We start from the raw sequence: 21917 nt of genomic DNA on the forward strand, positions 1-21917 counted from the left end.
ATGCTTCAGACAAAGAGAGTTACCCAGTTTGAATACATGGATTTGCTCAACAAATATTTACTGAGTTCCCACTCTCTGTTAGTTCCTATTGTGCTAGGCCTTGGAGACAGAGTGGCAAACAGGACATACACGGCCTTTACACTTGTGGAGCTGTGCCAACGTGTTGTTAGCATACTAAATCAGGATCATTCAAAGGTAGGCCTTTGATTTTAACTAAAAATTGTGCTGTTCTGTATGATCATCTAATCTAGCCACCAGACTGAGCACCAAATAACCTTTAGCCACTTGCAAAAACCAAACTACCTGTATAGGAGGAAGTTTTATGGTGATAGATGCCATTAGAAAGGATGTGTCACAGGTGCTCAAGGCATCCCTAAAATGGAAGTTGCAAAGCTGTTTTTGAGCACCAACAAATAAAAGTACAGCCCCCCAAAGTGACCACTTTTTAAGAAAACATCCCTTTGGGTTTAGAAGTTATATCTCATTCTTTCAGGTCTGGTGTTGCAAAAAATATTTACAACTTCACAACACAGCTAAGGTTGGTGATAGTCGGTAACAATGTGGGTGTTAGTTTCAAGGAACAGCACCTTCTCCTTGGTCTGGAACAAAGAAATAACTTAAGAAGAGCCTGGGAGGGACAAGCAGGCTTTCTAAGAAGACAGTTACAATCATCTTTGCATGATGGCTTAGAAACAGCACCATTTGTGAGGAACCTGCTCTCTTAACAAGAGGCCTGGCATGTGCTAAAGGGCACAGACAGTTGCCCAGGTGGCATGGTTTCCCTTCAGTATGCTGGTTACCCAATCTGTGCTCAGACTTCCTGGCCCACCCTGGTAGTTACAGAGACTGTAACATTCAGCTGCATATTCCCCCTTCTGTTTTTCCAGTTTCTTTCCCTAGTCCAATGCTCCCAAACATAACACTGAGAATCCCAGGAGAAAAAGATGAAAGAAAGGAAAGATTTTTGGGGGGGCGGGGGGCAGATCTTTATCATATCAATACAGTCCAGCCTCATAAGCCTAAATACAAAGGGAATTGGTCATTCTGACAGGACTCACTACTTTCAAAAATAAATAAATAAATAAATAAAAGGAAAACAATTCAGTTTGATGATCTCATTGCTGATTGAGCACTTGAGATGGCTTTGGAAAAGGAGGAGATAAGTGGACATAAAAGGAATTTAAAATCAAATACAAAAAAAATGGTTAAGGTGGTAAATTTTCTATCATATGCTTTTACCACAATTTTAAAAACTGTTTTAATGGGATACAAGGCAAGAAGAAATCCAGCAGTGAGGTGACAGGTATCCAGGTAAAGCTTGGCTCCTGTGAAGTGCAGAGCTGTCCTCGGAAGATTCTTGAATTCTGTGCCAAGGATGCCTGGCCCTCAAGGAACAAGTTTTTGCTTAGCATGCAAGGGTGTACAGACTGAAAAAGGATGAGTCACAGGTTTCTTAGGCTTTCAAAGATAACATAAAAGATCTACTCCCACCGAGGCAGCTCTCTGAAGGTCAGAGTGAGACCCTGTCTTTTCAGCTCATATCTCATGTCCAGGACCCTTTTCTGAAGGACAGGGGTCCCCAAAGAAGCTAGAAGCAGGTGGCAGTAAGGGAGCATTCAATCCTTAGGCAATAGCAAGAGCTGCAGCTAACATTTATTGAAAACATGCCATATGGGTACACTAGGGCTTCTGCAAGGCATGTTTCATGACCTGTAATCTTTATAACAATCCCACAGGGTCAATATGAAGATGCCAATTTTGTATACAGAGAAATGGAAGATTAGTGATGTTAATTGATATGCCCAAGGCTATATGGCTACTGAGTGCAGGAGCCTGGATTTGAACTTTCCATCTGGCCAAAGCTCACACCCAATTCATTGAGCATTGTATGACCTCCTGGGGAACTACAATGATTGCTAGGCCATGAGACCAGCATGATGGAACTTGGTTAGAAATGTTAAATGCAGCCAGGCATGGTGGTTCACACCTGTAATACCAGCACTTTGGGAGGCTGAGGTGGGAGAACCACTTGAGGTCAGGAGTTAGAGACCAGCCTGGGCAATAGAGCAAGACCCTGTCTCTACCAAAAAAAAAAATTTAAAACATTTGCCAGCAGTGGTGGTGCACACCTGTAGTCCTAGCTACTTAGGAGGCTGAGGCAGGAGGATCACTTGAGCCCAGTAGTTTGAAGTTACAACGGGCTATGATTGTGCCACTGCACTCCAGCCTGGGCAACACAGCAAGACTCAATCTCTTAAAAATAAAAATAAAAGTTAAATGTGATGGCATATGCAATCACTTTGGGAAAGGTCATGCAGTTCTTGATGAAAAAGCAGATATTAGTAATAAAATATATAAAATTATAATTGAAAAGTCTACCAGAAATGTTTGTATTTTTAAGGCACCTTGTTGGGAGCTTTGAAAACATATTTGCTGAAGATTAAAAAATATAAGACAAAAAAATTTCTTTCATGTGTCTCAAGGTCAGCAAGGGAAAGGCAAAGAGCTGAAATAAAAGCTTTGTTTCAGCTTCTACCAAGGACATTAAATTACCACTTTGAAACTGGCCCTAAAAGGAACAGGTTGAAGATGATGGGCCACAAGGTGCCAAAAATATTTTACAAATTATAACAACAGTTTAAATAGAGACAAGAATCTAGGAAAACAGGAATGAAATGGACAGGTTCCACTGGTAACACATGCAACAATGCTAGCTCATAAACTGCACTGTTAGTAAAAAACTCGTTTCTGTGATTCAAAATTATCAATCCACAATATTCCTGGAAAAGACACTTAAAGACTTGAATCTAGATAAACTGGATCAGGTCAGTTGAAAAGGAGCTAAGAACTAATGAAAAAATTATGGCCCTGGGCAGTGGTTCCAAACAGAGGTCCATGGACAAACCTTTAACAATTATTCAAGAACTTGAAAGTCAAAATAGATTCTAATTAAGAAAATCATCCAGAATAATGAGCGTATCTGCTACAGAATCTTCTTCATCAGTTATAACCATTTCTATACCTTTTCAACAGAAAGCCTTGAAATAATATGCTAAAACTCAGGCAACAAAAACCATTAAATTTCAGTACATCAGGTTAAAAAAAATTAAGCATATTTCACTGTATTTTTTTGTTTTGGGTCAGGAAACATATATTTCTATCTGTAAGGAATCCATACATGGATACCTGACAATCATTGCCTATAAGCTGCTTCCAAGCTAGTACTGTTCTCTATCCAAGCTCCTGAGGAATAGAGAGAGAGCCTTTCACTCTTATTCATATAAACAGTATTTACTGGCCATTTACAAGTTTCTTTAAATATTGGCATGGCAAACAGGCATATATAGAGATGTGAAGGTTGAAAGGGAAGATACTCTCCAAGTTGTGATGACATTTCCCTCTCCCAAATTTAGGATGATTCTTTCTTTGAAAGAAAAATTAAATAAAGTGATAATATAATACTATTAGACTTCCCCCAACTTTTCCTAAAAGTTGCATATTTTATGTGAAATATAGTAATTAAGGAATTTAAATATTTTTCATTTAAAACTTTAATACACTTATCAAAATTAATAACTTTTGCACTTTAAAGAATATTATCAAGAAAGTACAGTTGGCCCTCTAAATCCATGGGTTCTGCATCTATGGAGTCAACCGAGGATTGAAAATATTTGAAAACAAACAAACAATTAAAAATGACAATACAACAATAAAAATACATATTTAAAAACAATATACTACAACAACTATTTATGTAGCATTTGTGTTGTGTTAGGTCTTGTAAGTAACCTAGAGATGATTTAAAGTGTATGAGAAGATGTGTATGGGTTATATACAAATACTACACCATTTTAAATAAGGGACTTGAGCATCCTCAGATTTTGGTATTCATGTAAGGCGTTAGAACAATCCCCCATGGACGCTGAGGAAGAAGTGCATAAAGAAAATCCCCAGAATAGGAGAAAATATTTGCAAATCATTTATCAGATAAGGGTCTAGTGTCTAGAATATATAAAGAATTCTTACAAGTCAATAATAAAAAAGAACCAAATTCAAGGCCACAACGAGATACTATTTTATACCCACCTAAGATGGCTATAATAAAAAAGACAAGACAACAATAATTTTGGCAAGGATACAGAGGAATTGAAACTTTCATACATTGTTGGTGGGAATATAAAATGGTGAAGCCACTTAACAGTGTGACAGTCCTTCAAGAAGTTAAACACAGTTAGCAAATGATCCAGCAATTCCATCATAGATACACACACACACACATATACACAGAATTGAAAACAGGTGTTTAAACAAAAACTTACACACAAATGTTCACAGCAGCACTATTCACAATAGCCAAAAGGTGGAAGCAACTCCATCCATCGACAGACGAACAGGCAAACAAAATGTGGTATGTCCATACAATGGCATATTATTCAGCCATAAAAAGGAGTGAAGTGGGGCTGGGTGCAGTGGCTCACACCTATAATCCCAGCAAAGGGGAGGCCAAGGTGGGCGGATCACATGAGGTCAGGAGTTCAAGACCAGCCAGGCCAACATGGTGAAACTCCCTATCTACTAAGAACACAAAAATTAGCCAGGTGGGGTGGCATGCGCCTGTAATCCCAGCTACTTGGGAGGCTAAGGCAGGAGAATTGCTTGAACTTGGGAGGCGGAGGTTGCAGTGAGCTGAGATCGCGCCACTGTACTCCAGCCTAGGTGACAAAGTGAGACTCTGTCTCAAAAAAATAAAAAATAAAAAAATAAAAAAGGAGTGAAGTACTGAAACATGCTACACCATGGATAGACCTTGAAAACAGGCTAAATGAAATCAGCCAGACACAAAAGGCCACATATTGTATAATTCCATTTATATGAAATGCTCAGCAAAAAACGAACTCAAAGAGACAAATTGGGGGTTACGAAAATGTTCTGAAATTAAATAGTGGCGATGTTTACACAATCTTGTGAATATTCTAAAAACCACAAAATTGCACATTTTTAAAGGGTGGATTTTATAGTATGTAAATTACATTTTCATTTTGAAAAATCCAGTACTAGGACATACCAAAATTGGTGCTCTCAAATATTGCTGGCAAGAGTATCAACTATTAAAAGCCTTTTTTTGCAGGACAGAGTAGCAACATGTAGTGAATTCTTATAATTTTATGTTGCCTCAACATCCATTTTGGATGTACACTGGACTTTCTCATACCAGAAGTGGAGCTTGTTCAAGCTTGATACAGTTTCTACCCTTGACCCTGCCTCCTCCCAGTTCCTCAAGGTGGTCAATCCAGATATCTGCCTTTTACAACTGCCTCCTGGTGACCACCCACCTATGGGACAGCCACAGAGCCTACCTACGTGTCTTGCTCCACTGACCCCATACCCTGCATGGACTGCCCAGATACGCCGCAGTGACTCCACTGAACTCTAACTGCTTGCTCTAAACCCAGCAATTAGAACTCCCTGCAGGAAACCTGCTTGGGTAATGGTTAACCGCCTGGACCCTAATGAAGGCTTTGATCCATGGGTTGGTTCATCTTTCTTTCTTGCTCCCCACACACTGACTGAACATGCGTGCCCTGGATAGCTCTTCGCTTCTCACTGGCTCTGTGAGGTGTGCTGCTCTCTTCTCTCTAGGATCTGCAAGTAATAAAACTGCTTCTGTTATTTCATGTTTTGTTATGCTGTCTTCTCTGTATCTCACCTGACTGACACACATTAACCTAACTCTCCTCCTGATCAAGGCTCTCCTCGAGAGTGGTTATCTTGGTAGGAATAAAATGGACCCAGGACACAGGTTAGACAAGAGCCACAAGGTGTCTGCCAGTATAAGTAAGTCTTCTGTGAGAGGGACACCTGGTCACTGGTCACTTGCATTAGGCTGCCCTTCAGGATAGAGAAGTATCCAGTGAAAGGCACACTGTAAACACACACGACCACCCCACTGGGGCCCCATGAGGGCAGTGCTAGAAATTACAGCCACTGCCCAGGGAGTGACCTTAAGACCAAATTAGATAAAAATACAACAAAACAATACTAAAATTTTAATTGTGGATATCCTTTTAAACAGGGCAACTTCTCTTCTAGGGCATAAATAAAGGAAACACATAATAACTCCAAAGGATTATATATAAGAATATCTGATACACAATTGTGTTTAATAGAGAAAAAAGCTATAATAACCTGTTTGCCAATCTTTAGGAAAATATTTAAATTAATAGTACACCCATCATCTGGAATAATACTACGCAACCATTATTATACGGAGGTTTAAAAGACATGAAACATGTCTACATTTGGGAAGCAAAAAAAGAAAACCTATGGTCTAATCACATTTTTGTTTTTAAAAAATACTATACGAATGCTAGCTTTTTAAAACAATTTTTTAAAGTCTGCAAGGGCACAGACCAAATGTTAACCATCATCATGTCTGGGTGATACGACTGTGGGCAGCTTTCACTTCTTTTTTGTTCTTTGTTTTTACCTGTCTCCCATGAGTAGAATGTAAGCTTCCAGAGGCAGTGATTCTGTGGTAGTATCTAGAAAAGTACCTGGCTTATGGTATAATTCAATCCTGTGGTTACTGAATGAAAGAAACAGTTATCTACAATTTGGAAAAGAGAAAAAGGGAGTCTATAGAATTGTACATGTAAACAGAAATGGCAATAAATATCTGTGCATAGAACAACTAATGGAAGGAAAACAAAATGTTAATAGTAATCATCTGAGGCTATGCAAATTTGGCTGTTTATTTCTAATAGACATCTACGATTTCAATAATGAGAATGTATTACTTTCATGGTATTTTTAACAGAAAAACTTTCATATACATGTAATAGAAAAATTTTACAGACTTCTATAATAAGCGGGAAAAACTGTTTTACCAGACAATCCATGTTTCTCCCAATCATAAGGATTCAAGAATCAAAGGCAGAATGAGAGGTGTCAGCACTGAGAGATTACATTTGACTGAGGTGCAGGACAAAGTGTGCACTTTGCACCTGGGCTGGAAAGGCCACCACAAACCCTTCATCCAGCTGTGCTTCCTTGCACCTCCAACCCAAGTAGTGAGCAAGGCCTCGCTGGCTCCTGCTGCTGGCTGGCTTTGGAGTCTTCTATCTTCTCCAGCAGGGAGAAGATGGTGTTCTGTGTTAGAAATTAGCTAAACATAAAAACGAGTAGAAAAGCTCATCAAAATTTGCAACCTTCTATGTTTTTTTAAAGTTCAAATAATAAAAATGAAAATTCAAAGGAAGTGGTAACTGTTTCTATTAATAAATCAGTTTGTGGACAACATTTCAGGTAGCTAAAGTTATTTCCTAATTAAAATTAGGATTGTTTTATTTTTTTCACCTTCACTTTCTTCTGAAAGATTTTTTTTAAAACAGGCATTTGACTACAGAACATACTAAATGTAGAAAAAAAAAAAAAACCCACATGTCCTCAGCTTTTATTTTGCTGCAATTGTACTGGAACTTATCCACTCAGCAAAGACATCTGTGTGGAATTAGCAAGACTGACCAGAGTGGGGGCAGGAACAATGTCTGTCCGATTGTGCATTTGTATGTCTCTTTCTCTCTTTCTTTTTCTGCATTTAGTATACAGTCAGTCCCCGACTCATAATGGTTTGATTTATGAATTTTCAACTTTATGATGGGTTTGTCAGGACATAACTTCATCGGGAAGTCCAGGAACGTTTCTATTTCAATCTATCTCTACTGAGGAGTCCTGTGCTTTAGGTGACAAAGCAGGTACTTTGATCCTGGTGTTCTTCACATAGTCACAGCTGGTTAGACAGTTCAGTTGCAGGTATTTAAGGATAATTCAGGTGCAGAAATCCAGTAGGTTCTTGGATAATTTTCCAAGAAAAATTTCTACAAGAATGAATTAGACTGCCCAGCAAGAATAAAGAGAGAAGAGAAAACAGGACCAAATCCTGACACACACTAACGTTTCAGGATCACCAGAGGAAGAAGAACCTACAGAGTGAGAAGAAACAGTGAGATAAGTGAAGTTGGTGGGAAAAAATGTAAGACTGAAAGCAGGGTATCCCTGAAGCCTGAAGAAGAGAGCATTTCAAGACAGAATCATCGCAGGTGTCAAACGCTGCTGAGAAGCAGGTAAGTGAAGCACTAAAGAGTGGTCAACAGATTTGGTAATGTCATTTTTTCAAAACCTTTCCACCCCCAAATACTTGACTCTGTCGTTTTTAGTCTCCACCTCTACTTCCATATTTTTGCAATTAAAATGGGGAGACGGGGACAGGAGATACTTTTATGATGTTTCAAGAGTCTTAGAAATTTGAAATCTCTAAATATGCCGTCAACCTAATTCTTGTTAACTCTAGGCAGTAACAAAAACTGTGGGCTAGTATATGGCTAAATTTAGATGCTGACAGGGAAGAATTAGGAGGAGAGAGGGAAAATAATAATAAGTGCCTGTGTTGTTTTTGGAAACTACTTTTATTTCCAACTATGGCTTTGGGTAGACCAAAACCTCACAGTAACTCAATTTCCTAATCTGCCTAAGTGGAATGATGTTTGCTCCACCAACAAAGGCCAGGAGATACATCTTTTAGAATTATTTGGTGATATATTCTAGGACAAGTAGATGCTGAACAGAATCTAGTGGGGTGAATAAGACTATTTTCCTACCTCTTCATTCCTGGCCCACATGTAGTTTTACAGTAGCTTTGGGCTACCAGAGGCCCTAGGCCCAAAACTTAGGCCAACTCTGCTCCTACCCCTGCCACATAATAAACCAGGACCCCGGCCTAGAGTTAGAAAGACTGTATTCGGCTGGGCGCAGTGGCTCATGCCTGTAATCCCAGCACTTTGGGAGGCCAAGGCGGGTGGATCCCAAGGTCAGGAGATCGAGACCATCCTGGCTAACATGGTAAAACCCCGTCTCTACTAAAAAATACAAAAAATTAGCTGGGCATGGTGGCGGGCGCCTGTAGTCCCAGCTACTCAGGAGGCTGAGGCAGGAGAATGGCATGAATCTGGGAGGTGGAGCTTGCAGGGAGCCGAGATCGCACCACTGCACTCCAGCCTGGGCGACAGAGCGAGACTCCGTCTCAAAAAAAAAGAAAAAGAAAGACTGTATTCATGGATAAGGAATTGTTCTTTTATATATCTCAGCCTTGTAGTCACAATGACTCTAACCACCCAGAATTGTTCTGATATTTTACACATAAAATGGATGCCAAGGCCAGGCACGGTGGCTCACGCCTGTAATCCCAGCACTTTGGGAGGCTGAGGCGGGTGGATCACAAGGTCAGGAGATTGAGACCATCCTGGCCAACATGGTGAAACCCCATCTCTACTAAAAATTCAAAAAACTAGCTGGGTGTGGTGGCGTGTGCCTGTAATCCCAGCTACTCAAGAGGCTAAGGCAGGAGAATTGCTTGATTCCGGGAGGTGGAGATTGCGGTGAGCCAAGATTGCGCCACTGCACTCCAGCCTGGTGACAGAGTGAGACTCTGTCTCAAAAAAAAAAAAAAAAAGGATGTCAATAATAATAATAGTTAATTTTACTAACAAATGGGTATTAGGAAGATACTAAGCTTATTAAATGTATCACCAAAACAACCTTAAGATAGAGGCATATTATGACTCCATTTTACAGAGTAGAAGCCTAGAGAGGCTAAATAACTCAACTTGGTCCCACGGCTAGTAAGTGGTAAAGCTAAGATTTGGGATTTGACTCCCATTTCAAGGGCCATTGCTTTTAATCACTTCACACTGTCTCGTGTACTGGATACAACAAACTTAGAAATAAGAATCAGCAAGAACCTCTAACCAACCTCTATTTTGTTTCCATCACCCATTCCCCAACACACCTGTATCTCTCCTCAACCTTTCCCCAGATGACTTTCAATTCACTAACTTTTCCTCTTCTATCCATTTCTTCATAAATCCACTTGTTCTCCAGATCAGATGAGAAACATATCAAGAATAAACAATTTATTAAGTGGACATATATTAAATAAATGTAGTAGGACATATATTAAATAAATGATGTCTAAGACTTTTCAGCTTCACCCAGAAGGGTCCCAAGATGAGGGTCATTTTAAACATGGACTTGGCAGCTACCAAAGATCTACAACCACCATCGTAAGAATGTAGTTTGTTAGCAGTAGACATATTTCTTTTATCCTTACAAAATGAGAACGTTTTATTCTCAGTATCTAAATATTACGTAGTTCCTGGATAGTAAGTTCATGATAAAGTTACAAACCATATCAAAATGAAAAAGACGTTCCTGTTGCACTTTTGGTTTTTTCATAATACTTTAACCCTTTGGGCTAGTTTTCCCAAGGATGAATCAAAGTTATGCAGAGCGGCCAGGCACGGTGGCTCATTCCTGTAATCCTATCACTTTGGGAGGCCAAGACATGCGGATTGCCTGAGCTCAGAAGTTTGAGATCAGCCTGGGCAAAATAGTGAAACCCTGTCTCTACTAAAATACAAAAAATCAGCCAGGCGTGGTGGCGGGCGCCTGTAATCCCAGCTACTCAAGAGGCTGAGGCATGATAATTGCTTGAACCCGGGAGGTGGAGGTTGCAGTGAGCTGAGATTTTGCCACTACACTCCAGCCTGGGCAACAAAGCAAAACTCTGTCTCAAAAAAAAACAAAGTTAGGCAGAGGAAGACGATTCTTCACAGTCACATCAATACTCGTTATGCGAGCTAAAAATGTCACAGATCCAAATCCTTCATCATCACTTTGAAGCTGCTTCAAAAACTTGGTCACCAGAGCTTCCCAGACTCCTCTGGTCAAGACAGGAGACGAGGCAATTCCATTAGTTGTTTTTAAGTAGCCTTTTTTATGACAGTGTTTTCTACATGTAAACTTACTAGACTTACAGCTTCTTTATGCATAGGATTTTAAAATTAGCAGCTTATTTCCATTAAAATTTTGTGTCTGTCTCATAAATGCTAGTGACGTATTTGATAACATTAGTAACATGAATTAAATGAACCACAGTGCAATTTAAATATTAAATTTTAATATTAACATATAATTAATCATACTATAAATATTTTAATGTTAATATTTTATACTAATTAAAATATTAGTATTTTAATACTAAAATATTACACAGTAATATGATTACTATATAATCATATGTACTGTTATGATACTATATTATAATAATCATATTACTGTGTATGTATAGTAATATTACTATATCATAGTAATATATGATTACTATGTAATATTTTAGTTAAAATTGTGTCAACTTACATACAATTTACTTTGGTCTTATAAATACCATAAATAAATGTACTGGCAAACTATGATTCTAGTCAGGATGGGCCTCTGAGGTCGAGTTCAAACTCCCATCTCATGCTTTCTAACATACAAGCAAAGAATTAGGAGAGAGAGAAAATAATAACTAATAAGTTCTGGAGACAGGGAGCTTACTGCTTACAAGGCATATGGCACAGCTACGCAGCTCAACTTCTCCGGATGTCCTTCTTTATATGAAGCCTATCCTCCTCTAACTCTCCCCACGTGTCCCATTCTCTTCCACAGGTCCAGCAATAGACACATTTAACTCTTTTCCACGTGATGCCCTTAAGTCTTCATTTCCTCAGGCTACACAGTCCTAGCTTCATCCACAGCTCACATGAAATAAATCAGCGTTATTTTGCCATCTCAGTGACTTTATTCTGGCCTCGAGTGTATGTTTCAGAACATAAAGTAAGAATAATGAAAAAAATATATTAAGATATGTTCAAAGAGGGGAAAGCATTTAATGCTCAGACTTCTTTTCCTTTTTGGAGGAGGGAGGAGAAAAGAGGTGGATAGGTCCCTTTTAAGTCCTTTTGAAACATGATTCTAGGGTGAGGCTCTTTAGTCATCTAGGCTAGTTATTGGCCCAGATGATCTTCAGACCCTCTGCAGGATGAGGCCAAAAAGTCTTAAAAGTAAATTATTCACTCAACCATATTATCAACTTTGCTATTCTTCCTCTTTCACTATTCTAAATTATGGATCATGATTTAGTGATCCATACTACTAGTAAACTGAGTCCTCATCTCTCCCTAGAGGATTTCTGGGACCAATTCTTTTGGGAATTATTCTTTGTCCTAGTTCACCCTTGGTCACCACCCAAAATTCAGCACCACACACTAGGCCTTTCCTTTCTCCCTTCCCACCACGTCTTTCAACTTCCCAAAACCACCTATATTACTCTCTTCCCTCCTAAGCTTTCCTCCTGAGGACCCTGAAGCAAAAAGCCTGAAACCTAGCTCCCCACAGAAGACGCTGCCTCTTTTTAGAACACTCTCAATTTCTTTGGTGGGGCTGACCTTCCCTTGGCCCCCATACTCTCCAATTCCAGAGCATGATCTTCCACCACAAGGTAAAACTCTGGCTCTTCCGAGGCATATTTCATCCCCTGGTTACATTAATGGTTTGTAACCAGGCTAGAAATTTCTTGAGAAATTGCTTTAGTTACTACTGAACCTGACCCCAAGTAGAACGCAAATATTTCTGAACTAGTATTAATAAATTAATGCTGAAAAACTCAACAAATTGTTCAGTGAATAAATTATACCCATATTCACTCCAGGGAAGAAAATAAGGTCTAATAATCTGAAAGTCTTTGAGATTCTCACAGTATATCTGAAGAAAACTCTTCCCATCTTTATGTTTTCTAGAGGACCTAAGAATGAAGGGCTCTGCTTACCCAACTCTTGGCATGGGGTCAGGAAGCAAGATTCTCCCGTAGTTACTCAAGTCAGCTCCAAGCCGTCATCCTACTTATAATATTATGTATTTCTATTGCATTCATTGCTTATTAACTGTCTTCTACACTGGATATGTGGTCCCAAAGCCCTCTTACCCCTTAAGATGACACCTGCCTGCAGACCATATTATACATTACATAATATTTATCATTTTTTATGTTTTTCCCAGTGCCAAGCAGGAGCTGAGATGAATAAAAATCAATATTCCTATATCATTGTTTCGTTGTTGCTAACATTAGGATGTGCCCTCTTGCAAAGAACTATTTACAACCATATTATACATCAATAGTGCCACATAGGTTTTCAATGATTAGAGTTCACATTTTATTTTTATAATTTTTTTCTGCCTAATAATGCTTAGTCATCTTAAGAATTAAAATAACGTATTTCTTAGAAGCAGTTTAGTTCTTTTTAATGTAGATAAAAGTCTATAGCTCTCCTGAGTGATTCACTTTTAAACGTTTTATTAAAATCTGTTTTTCTCACAACGATTCTTTAGGCAAAACAAAGTCAATCTCTAAACCCTTTATTCTGGGCACATTACTCCTATTATGCCCTTTCTGGTTAATAAGAAGCACGATTATTTATTACTGAGTTTTGATTTAATTTGTAAAAATCTACCATCTCAATTTACCTTGGTAAGATTTTGAACAAAGAAATGAGGAATATCAAGATCAGAGTGTATTTACATGCCATTTTTCTCCAGGGAAGAGGAAAGTGAATTAATAGGAATGAGGGTTTTTAAAAGGTGGATGTTTTATTTGCTGCTACTTCTAACACCTCAGAATCATGGTAAAAGACAAAGTTTGATGGTTACTTTTATTGTTAAACTGAAAGATTTCCTTGCCACTGACAAACTAAATACCAAGTACTCGACGAATTACCCCACTTAATCCTAATCTTATGATGTGAGGCATGTTATGATTACTTCCATTTAAATGACAGAAAAACAAGGCTGGCTTTTGTCTTCCAGCTCAAAGGAGGCCAAGGTGCAACTTCTTTCAGTCGTCCTGAATCGGATTCATCTGACACAAGCTGCCTCCACCATGCTGCTGAAGTTTGACCCCAATGAGATTAGAGTCGTATACCTGAGGTGCACCGGGGGTGAAGTCGATGCCATGTCTGCACTGGCTCCCAGGATAAGACCCCTGGGTCTGTCTCCCAAAAAGGTTGATGATGACATTGCCAAGGCAACTAGTGACTGGAAGGGTCTAAGGATTACAGTGAAACTGACGATTCAGAACAGACAGGCCCAGATTGAGGTGGTACCTTCTGCCTCTGCCCTAATCATCAAAGCCCTCAAGGAACCACCAATAGACAGAAAGAAACAGAAAAACATTAAACACAGTGGAATTATCACTTTTGATGAGATTGTCAACACTGCTCGACAGATGCAGCACCAATCTTTAGCCAGAGAACTCTCTGGAACTATTAAAGAGCTCCTGGGGACTGACTACTGCCCAGTCTGTGTCTGCAATGTTGATGGCCACCACCCTCATGACATCATGGATGGCATCAACAGTGTTGTGGTGGAATGCCCAACTAGTTAAGAAGCACAAAGGAAAAATTTCCATAAAGGTTCATTTGACAAGGCTGAACTTACCCAAAATTATACAACTAAATCGTAAGGTCAGAGTTTCAATCCTGTTCTATGGAAATCAAAGCTGAAATTCACTCCAGAACATGAGCCTCTTCTCTATTAGGCACTGAATTCTCCATCCTGGAGCCTATATATTGCTTTAACTTGAACATCATTTTCTATTTTCATTCTTTGCAACTTCTTGCAATTCAGTTATCAGTATGGCCTACCATCAGTATTTATAAGAGGAGCAGGATCAAGTCTTTCTGAAAGTTGCTCACTTCTGTAACCTGCTTCTCTATCCTATCTAATATTAACTTTTAAATGAAAAATCCTGTTCTGTTCATCAAAATTACCATGAGGTCCAAAACAAAAACCCATCCAACTGAAGCTACATAACAGCTGGCTAACATACCAAAGGTCTTAACATGAACCAGTAAAATCTCACAAGAAACCAGAATTCATTTTGGTGGAATCACTAAAGAATGTTTTGATTTAAATAAATGCTTATCTCCTTACACCTTATACAAAAATTAATTCAAGATGGATTAAAGACTTAAATGTTAGACCTAAAACCATAAAAACGCTAGAAGAAAACCTAGGCAATACCATGCAGGACATAGGCATAGGCAAGGACTTCATGTCTAAAACACCAAAAGCAATGGCAACAAAAGCCAAAATTGACAAATGGGATCTAATTAAACTAAAGAGCTTCTGCACAGCAAAAGAAACTACCATCACAGTGAACAGGCAACCTACAAAATGGGAGAAAATTTTCGCAACCTACTCATCTGACAAAGGGCTAATATCCAGAATCTACATGAACTCAAACAAATTTACAAGAAAAAAAAAACAACCCCATCAAAAAGTAGGCAAAGGATATGAACAGACACTTCTCAAAAGAAGACATTTATGCAGCCAAAAAACACATGAAAAAATGCTCATCATCACTGGCCATCAGAGAAATGCAAATCAAAACCACAATGAGATACCATCTCACACCAGTTAGAATGGCGTTCATTAAAAAGTCAGGAAATAACAGGTGCTGGAGAGGATGTGGAGAAACAGGAACACTTTTACACCATTGGTGGGACTGTAAACTAGTTCAACCATTGTGGAAGTCAGTGTGGCGATTCCTCAGGGATCTAGAACTAGAAATACCATTTGACCCAGCCATCCCATTACTGGGTATATACCCAAAGGATTATAAATCATGCTGCTATAAAGACACATGCACACGTATGTTTATTGTGGCACTATTCACAATAGCAAAGACTTGGAACCAATCCAAATGTCCAACAACGATAGACTGGATTAAGAAAATGTGGCACATATACACCATGGAATACTATGCAGCCATAAAAAATGATGAGTTCATGTCCTTTGTAGGGACATGGATGAAGCTGGAAACCATCATTCTCAGCAAACTATCACAAGGACAAAAAACCAAACACTGCATGTTCTCACTCACAGGTGGGAACTGAACAATGAGAACACATGGACACAGGAAGGGGAACATCACACTCCGGAGACTGTTGTGGGGTGGGGGGAGGGGGGAGGGATAGCATTAGGAGATATACCTAATGCTAAATGATGAGTTAATGGGTGCAGCACACCAACATGGCACATGTATACATATGTAACAAACCTGCACATTGTGCACATGTACCCTAAAACTTAAAGTATAATAATAATAAAATTAAAAAAATAAAATATTTTGGGTCCATAAAAAAAAAAGCTTATCTTAAAGGATGCTTAAAAATAAACAAATGTACAGATTGCTTTAAGAAATATAAACCTGCTCACATACCACAAATGACAATAGTTTTGAGGGTCTGGGGTTCTCTTCAGTAATGTATTCTTTGAGATGGAATCTTGCTCTTGTCCAGGCTGGAGTCCAATGGTGCAATCTCGGCTCACTGCAACCTCCACCTCCCAGGTTCAAGTGATTCTCCTGCCTCAGCCTCCTGAGTAGCTGCGATTACAGGTGCTCGCCACCATGCCTGGCTAATTTTTTTGTATTTTTAGTAGAGACGGGGTTTTGCCATGTTGGCCAGGCTGGTCTCAAACTCCTGACCTCAGGTGATCTGACTGCCTCGGCCTCCAAAAGTGCTGGGATTACAGGTGTGAGCCACTGCATCCAGCCAGTAATGTCTTCTTTTTAACAGCAGCATAATATTCCACTAGGTGGGTGTGCTATGATTTGAACAGTCCCCTTTTTGACGGATGTGTACGTTCTTTTCCATTTTTGCTATCATACATGAAACAGCAATTTAAGCCTTTATACACACAGTTTTGCACACCTGAGTATATCCACAGGATAAGTTCCTGGTACATCGAACTGCATTCCATGTAGCGTCTGCCTATCAGCTGACAACTCTTTGAGCTAGGACAGATATAAATCCAGTTTGTAGGCAGTATTTAGTCACTGCTCTTCTTGTTATCTGGCAGCAGATGAATTAACTAATTCCCCAAACCAACCTAGCCGTTGAGGACAGACCAGGGGGTAGTCCTTGTAACCATAACCCTAACCCATAACCCTAAGTTACCCTATTATTAGACTAGAGTTCCCTAGAAGCAAACTGGAAAGGTAGGAGTGGCTAGTCTCACCCAACCTCTTTGTTACAGAGTCCCAGTGAAAAGCAGGGATTTAGATACCCCAATTCCCAGGCTGTCAATCAATTCTGTAAAAGAAAAACCAGCCCAACAGAAATAGCCCATTTCCAAGAGACACAGACAGGTCTCCCATCTGACCTCCCTGAGTGAGGTCTCAGAGTTCCTTTGAATATGTTATACTCATGGCATAGCAGTACCAACCAAGGAAAGAGATCCTGGCAAGATAAATCACTCTCCATCCCACACGCCCTTCAAAATACCAAATGCCAAAGAGTTGATGCTCCCATTCTTCCAAATATTTCACTATTCTCTCTAGGGGGAACCCATCCACAGATCATTATAAATAAGGATTCTGTAAGTAAGAATGCTTTTAGTTTAACCAAAAATCCAGAAGGATAAATATATAAAATATAAAGAATTGGTCACATCTCTCTTTCAGAAAAGACTCAGAAAGCTGTTCAAAGGGAGGAAATGTTTCTCTTCTACTTGGCTAATTTGAATAATATTCTGATATACAGTTTTCATTACATTTACTCCTACGTGAAGATGAACTGAGCAACAAGAAAAATCCATATTATTAAGTCATTCAGAACAGAGCTCTCAGTTACTATAATACAGGCAACAGGGAAAGTACCAGAGATTAAGGGATAAGCCAACACTGCCAGTGTCTCCCCTTGTTGAAAAAGCACCAAGATACCCGGATGCATTCACTTAAAAGAAAAGTGATCACTTACCTGCTTCTCTTTTTTCTGTATTTTCATTTTCATCTATTGAAGGAAGATATTTATTTCTGTAAAACATTTTTAAAAAGGCAAAGATTATGACAAAACCCAAAATAAAACATTTTCAACATCTCCAGATTACTGTAACACACAAGGAAAACAAACAGGGGATTACTTCTGCAGAACATTTATGTCCAACAACCTCCAGAGCCGTAAGTGTACACCTAATTAGATCTAACTCTGTTAGACCCTAATTTATTGCACCCAATAAAATGAAGTCAAAAAGATATTGTCTTTGTAGATTAAATCAGTTATAAAAGATGTTGGCATGTATGAAAGTTAGTGGTAACCAATAAAGGAACAAAAACAATAACATGCCTTTACTGAGAGGTATTAGGAGATGGGAAGGAAGTAAGGTAAGCCCTCATCCCTTTTGGAAGAAAACAATCAATGATGTCTACAATGGAAAAATCAAGAAAGAGAAATACAGACAATAAAAAAGAGCTAAGAGTTCAATGCAGTTCTCTCTAAGGAGTGAGACAGGATTTGGTATATTATTTGACGATTTAAACCATGTACATTTATTACTTGAAAAAACAATTCCATTGCAATATTTCATACGATTTTTTTTAAAGGACTGATTTTACTCTATCCAGGACATAAGCCCCCATCCCCACTGCAACCATAATGTCCTTGACAACACTGAACTTCTCATAAATGACTTGTGAACACCATAAAAGCCCAGTAATTGTCTTTAGAGGTACAAAAGTGTGTCGGGGCATTTCAGGGAAAAGAACAAACCCTAGTCTAGGAAACCCAGAATTTGGGGCTGCCTGCATCACTAACTAGTACTACTGCCTCAGATCTGAAGCTCTTACCTTCCTCATATACAAACAATACAAGGATTATAGAATCTCAGGCTTCTAGTTCTAGCCGGAATATAAACACTGCTTCCTATTTTTTGTTGACTTTGATTTCCTGTTCATCCCACACAACTACAGAACACCACTCACTCAGAAAACCAAATTACCCATAAGTTTCCTAATTATTTCTCATATCCAAATGAATGTGATGTGTAGGCATTAAGTCTTAATAGAGCTTTTAAGATTAGAGCTTTAAGATTAAAGTGAGATAAGTATTTGAGGTGGTAGATATGTTAATTAGCTTGACTTAATTATTACACATTGTATTCATAAATGATGACATCACTGTGTACCCCATAAATATATACAACCATAATTTGTCAATTTGCAATTTAAAAAAGATTAAAGTGAGATAGTTCCAATTCTAAGTAAGTTCATGGCATGTTGGACGCAAACAGAAAAATGAAAGACATGATTCCAATCATCCTTGGGACCGCAATTACAGTTTATCATTTTAATGTCTGTCAATTTAGATTTTTCTCCCTCTAAGAGTTAGAGGCATTTTCTATTAAAAGAACCACAAAATGCCATGGAATCTGTCCTAGAGAGACATGTCTACCAAGGTACTGCTGTTTGCAAAGAGTGCAGCGGCCAAGGAGGTAAGTAGTTGGAAAGCAGGCATGATCGGGTGCTAAGGTGAAGGGGAGGAGGGTAGAGACTAACTGGCTAAATCAGGGAAAGGCAAGTCCAGTTAGTAAATGGTGCTTCTAAGAATCAATGCAAGGGTTAGTGTTTGATAGGACAGTTATTTACCTGAAGAATCCATAAATTCCAGATAAATGGTAAGTGCTCTGAACCAACGCAGTTAAAATTTAGAAAAAAATTATCTCCTAAGCTTCATTACAGTGGAGTCAGTTGTAGGTAAATTATGTTAGTACAAGTTTATCTCCTTTATCTCTATTCTTTAAATTATCAGACCCCAGAAAACTGACATTCTTAACCATCACAAACTGCCACAAAGTCAAAAATAAAGAAGTTTGGGGGAAAATTCCAGCTAATAAAAAAGGGTATTAACAATAAGACATACGTGTAGAAAGTAAAGAGTTTCCTCTTCAAAGTTCCCCTTCTTGTTAAAGAATGAATCATAAGTGTTAGAAGTAGTAGTTTCTTTTAAAGACTACCTTTCTTCAAGCCTCCTTGGTTTGGGCTAATAACTCTTTGTCAGGCCCTGTCCTAAGTAACTGTTGGACATGCTCACAGGCACGTTCCAGCTCATAGCCTATGCCCATTCCTTATTTGGAAATGTTATTGCTTCCTTAAACCTTTCATAAGCAACTTCCTCTCCTTCTTTGTTCTTCCCCACACTTACCTATTTAGGAAAGTTTTAGGCTATTAGCAAATCGGGTATTAGTTTAAGAGCGTGAGGTCTAGCTCCAGCCAATGGATGCAGGACACGGCAGTGAGGATGATCCAAATGTGTAAGGGATAAATACATCTGCTTTTCCTTTGTTCAGGTGTGCTCTCACCATTGTTTCATCTGCGATTGCGTACCCTTTCTGCAGAAAGTAAAGATCGCCTTGCTGAGAGATCTTTTGTCTCCGTGCTGACTTTTCTTTGTGGCACTGATTATTTCTAACAATTTTGGTATTTCTAACAATATGTCTCAAATAAAATTCTGCCCAACAAAATGAAATCATTAAAAATTACAGAAAGGTCAGGTACAATGGCTCACACCTGTAATCCCAGCACTTTGGGAGGCCAAGGCAGGCGGATCACTTGAACCCAGGAGTTTGTGACCAGCCTGGGCAACATGGCAAAAACTTGTCTCTATAGAAAATACAAAAATTAGCCAGGTGTGGTGGCTTCCACCTATGGTCCCAGCTACTTGGGAGGCTAAGGTAGGAGGATCATCTGAGTCTGGGAGGTCCAAGCTGCAGTGAGATCACACTACTGTACTCCAGCCTAGGTGACAGAGTGAGGCCCTGTCTCAAAAAACAAACAAAACGAAACACTACAGGAAAACTCTACCAATGTTAATAAAAAATTACTTTTGTAATGTATAAAGAACTGATACAATTATGATGCAGCAGGGACATCAGAAAGCACAATTTCTGATTCACTACCACAAACTAGCACTGGAATAAAAACAAGCAGGGCACCTAACACTGCCAGGAATGTGGGAAAACAGGTCCTACTTATAATTGCTAATGGCACTTTTATTTTTTATTTATTTATTTATTTATTTATTTATTTTATTGATCATTCTTGGGTGTTTCTCGCAGAGGGGGATTTGGCAGGGTCATAGGACAATAGTGGAGGGAAGGTCAGCAGATAAACAAGTGAACAAAGGTCTCTGGTTTTCCTAGGCAGAGGACCCTGCGGCCTTCCGCAGTGTTTGTGTCCCTGGGTATTTGAGATTAGGGAGTGGTGATGACTCTTAACGAGCATGCTGCCTTCAAGCATCTGTTTAACAAAGCACATCTTGCACCGCCCTTAATCCATTTAACCCTGAGTGGACACAGCACATGTTTCAGAGAGCACAGGGTTGGGGGTAAGGTCACAGATCAACAGGATAAGAATTTTTCTTAGTACAGAACAAAATGAAAAGACTCCCATGTCTACCTCTTTCTACACAGACACGGCAACCATCCGATTTCTCAATGTTTTCCCCACCTTTCCCCTCTTTCTATTCCACAAAACCGCCATTGTCATCATGGCCTGTTCTCAATGAGCTGTTGGGTACACCTCCCAGACGGGGTGGTGGCCAGGCAGAGGGGCTCCTCACTTCCCAGTAGGGGCAGCCGGGCAGAGGCGCCCCTCACCTCCCGGACGGGGCGGCTGGCCGGGCGGGGGGCTGACCCCCCCACCTCCCTCCCGGACGGGGCGGCTGGCCGGGTGGGGGGCTGATTCCCCCACCTCCCTCCTGGACGGGGCGGCTTGCCGGGCGGGGGGCTGACCCCCCCACCTCCCTCCCCGACGGGGCGGCTGGCCGGGCAGAGGGGCTCCTCACTTCCCAGTAGGGGCGGCCGGGCAGAGGCGCCCCTCACCTCCCGGATGGGGCGGCTGGCCGGGTGGGGGGCTGACCCCCCCACCTCCCTCCTGGACGGGGCGGCTGGCCGGGCAGAGGGGCTCCTCACCTCCCAGTAGGGGCGGCCGGGCAGAGGCGCCCCTCACCTCCCGGACGGGGCGGCCGGCCGGGCGGGGGGCCGACCCCCCCACCTCCCTCCCGGACGGGGCGGCTGGCCGGGCAGGGGGCTGACCCCCACCTCCCTCCCGGACGGGGTGGCTGCCGGGCGGAGACGCTCCTCACTTCCCAGACAGGGCGGCTGCCGGGCGGAGGGGCTCCTCACTTCTCAGATGGGGCTCCTCACTT

The 21917-nt window shown here is 40.2% G+C and overlaps 1 protein-coding gene and 1 pseudogene across 14 annotated transcripts in view; one reads left to right on the forward strand and one right to left on the reverse strand.

Moving 5' to 3' along the window:
- CHD6 (chromodomain helicase DNA binding protein 6) overlaps positions 1 to 21917 on the reverse strand; it is a 216295-nt gene that overhangs the window by 131529 nt on the left and 62849 nt on the right. For 6 of the 14 annotated variants that reach the window (NM_032221.5, XM_047440545.1, XM_047440546.1 and 3 more), the window contains one exon: positions 17694 to 17749. In NM_032221.5, coding sequence (NP_115597.3) covers positions 17694 to 17726 — 33 coding nt within the window. In that variant the 5' untranslated portion in view covers positions 17727 to 17749. Of the gene's footprint in view, positions 1 to 303; positions 6457 to 6887; positions 7149 to 16153; positions 16278 to 17693; positions 17750 to 19913; positions 20101 to 21917 lie in introns of those variants that run through there. The other 8 variants (XM_017028101.2, XM_017028099.3, XM_017028102.2 and 5 more) reach the window with 4 other exon arrangements.
- RPL12P11 (ribosomal protein L12 pseudogene 11) lies at positions 13724 to 14355 on the forward strand (annotated as a pseudogene).

This window comes from Homo sapiens, chromosome 20 (genome assembly GCF_000001405.40).
Source record: "Homo sapiens chromosome 20, GRCh38.p14 Primary Assembly".
Lineage (NCBI taxonomy): Eukaryota > Metazoa > Chordata > Mammalia > Primates > Hominidae > Homo > Homo sapiens.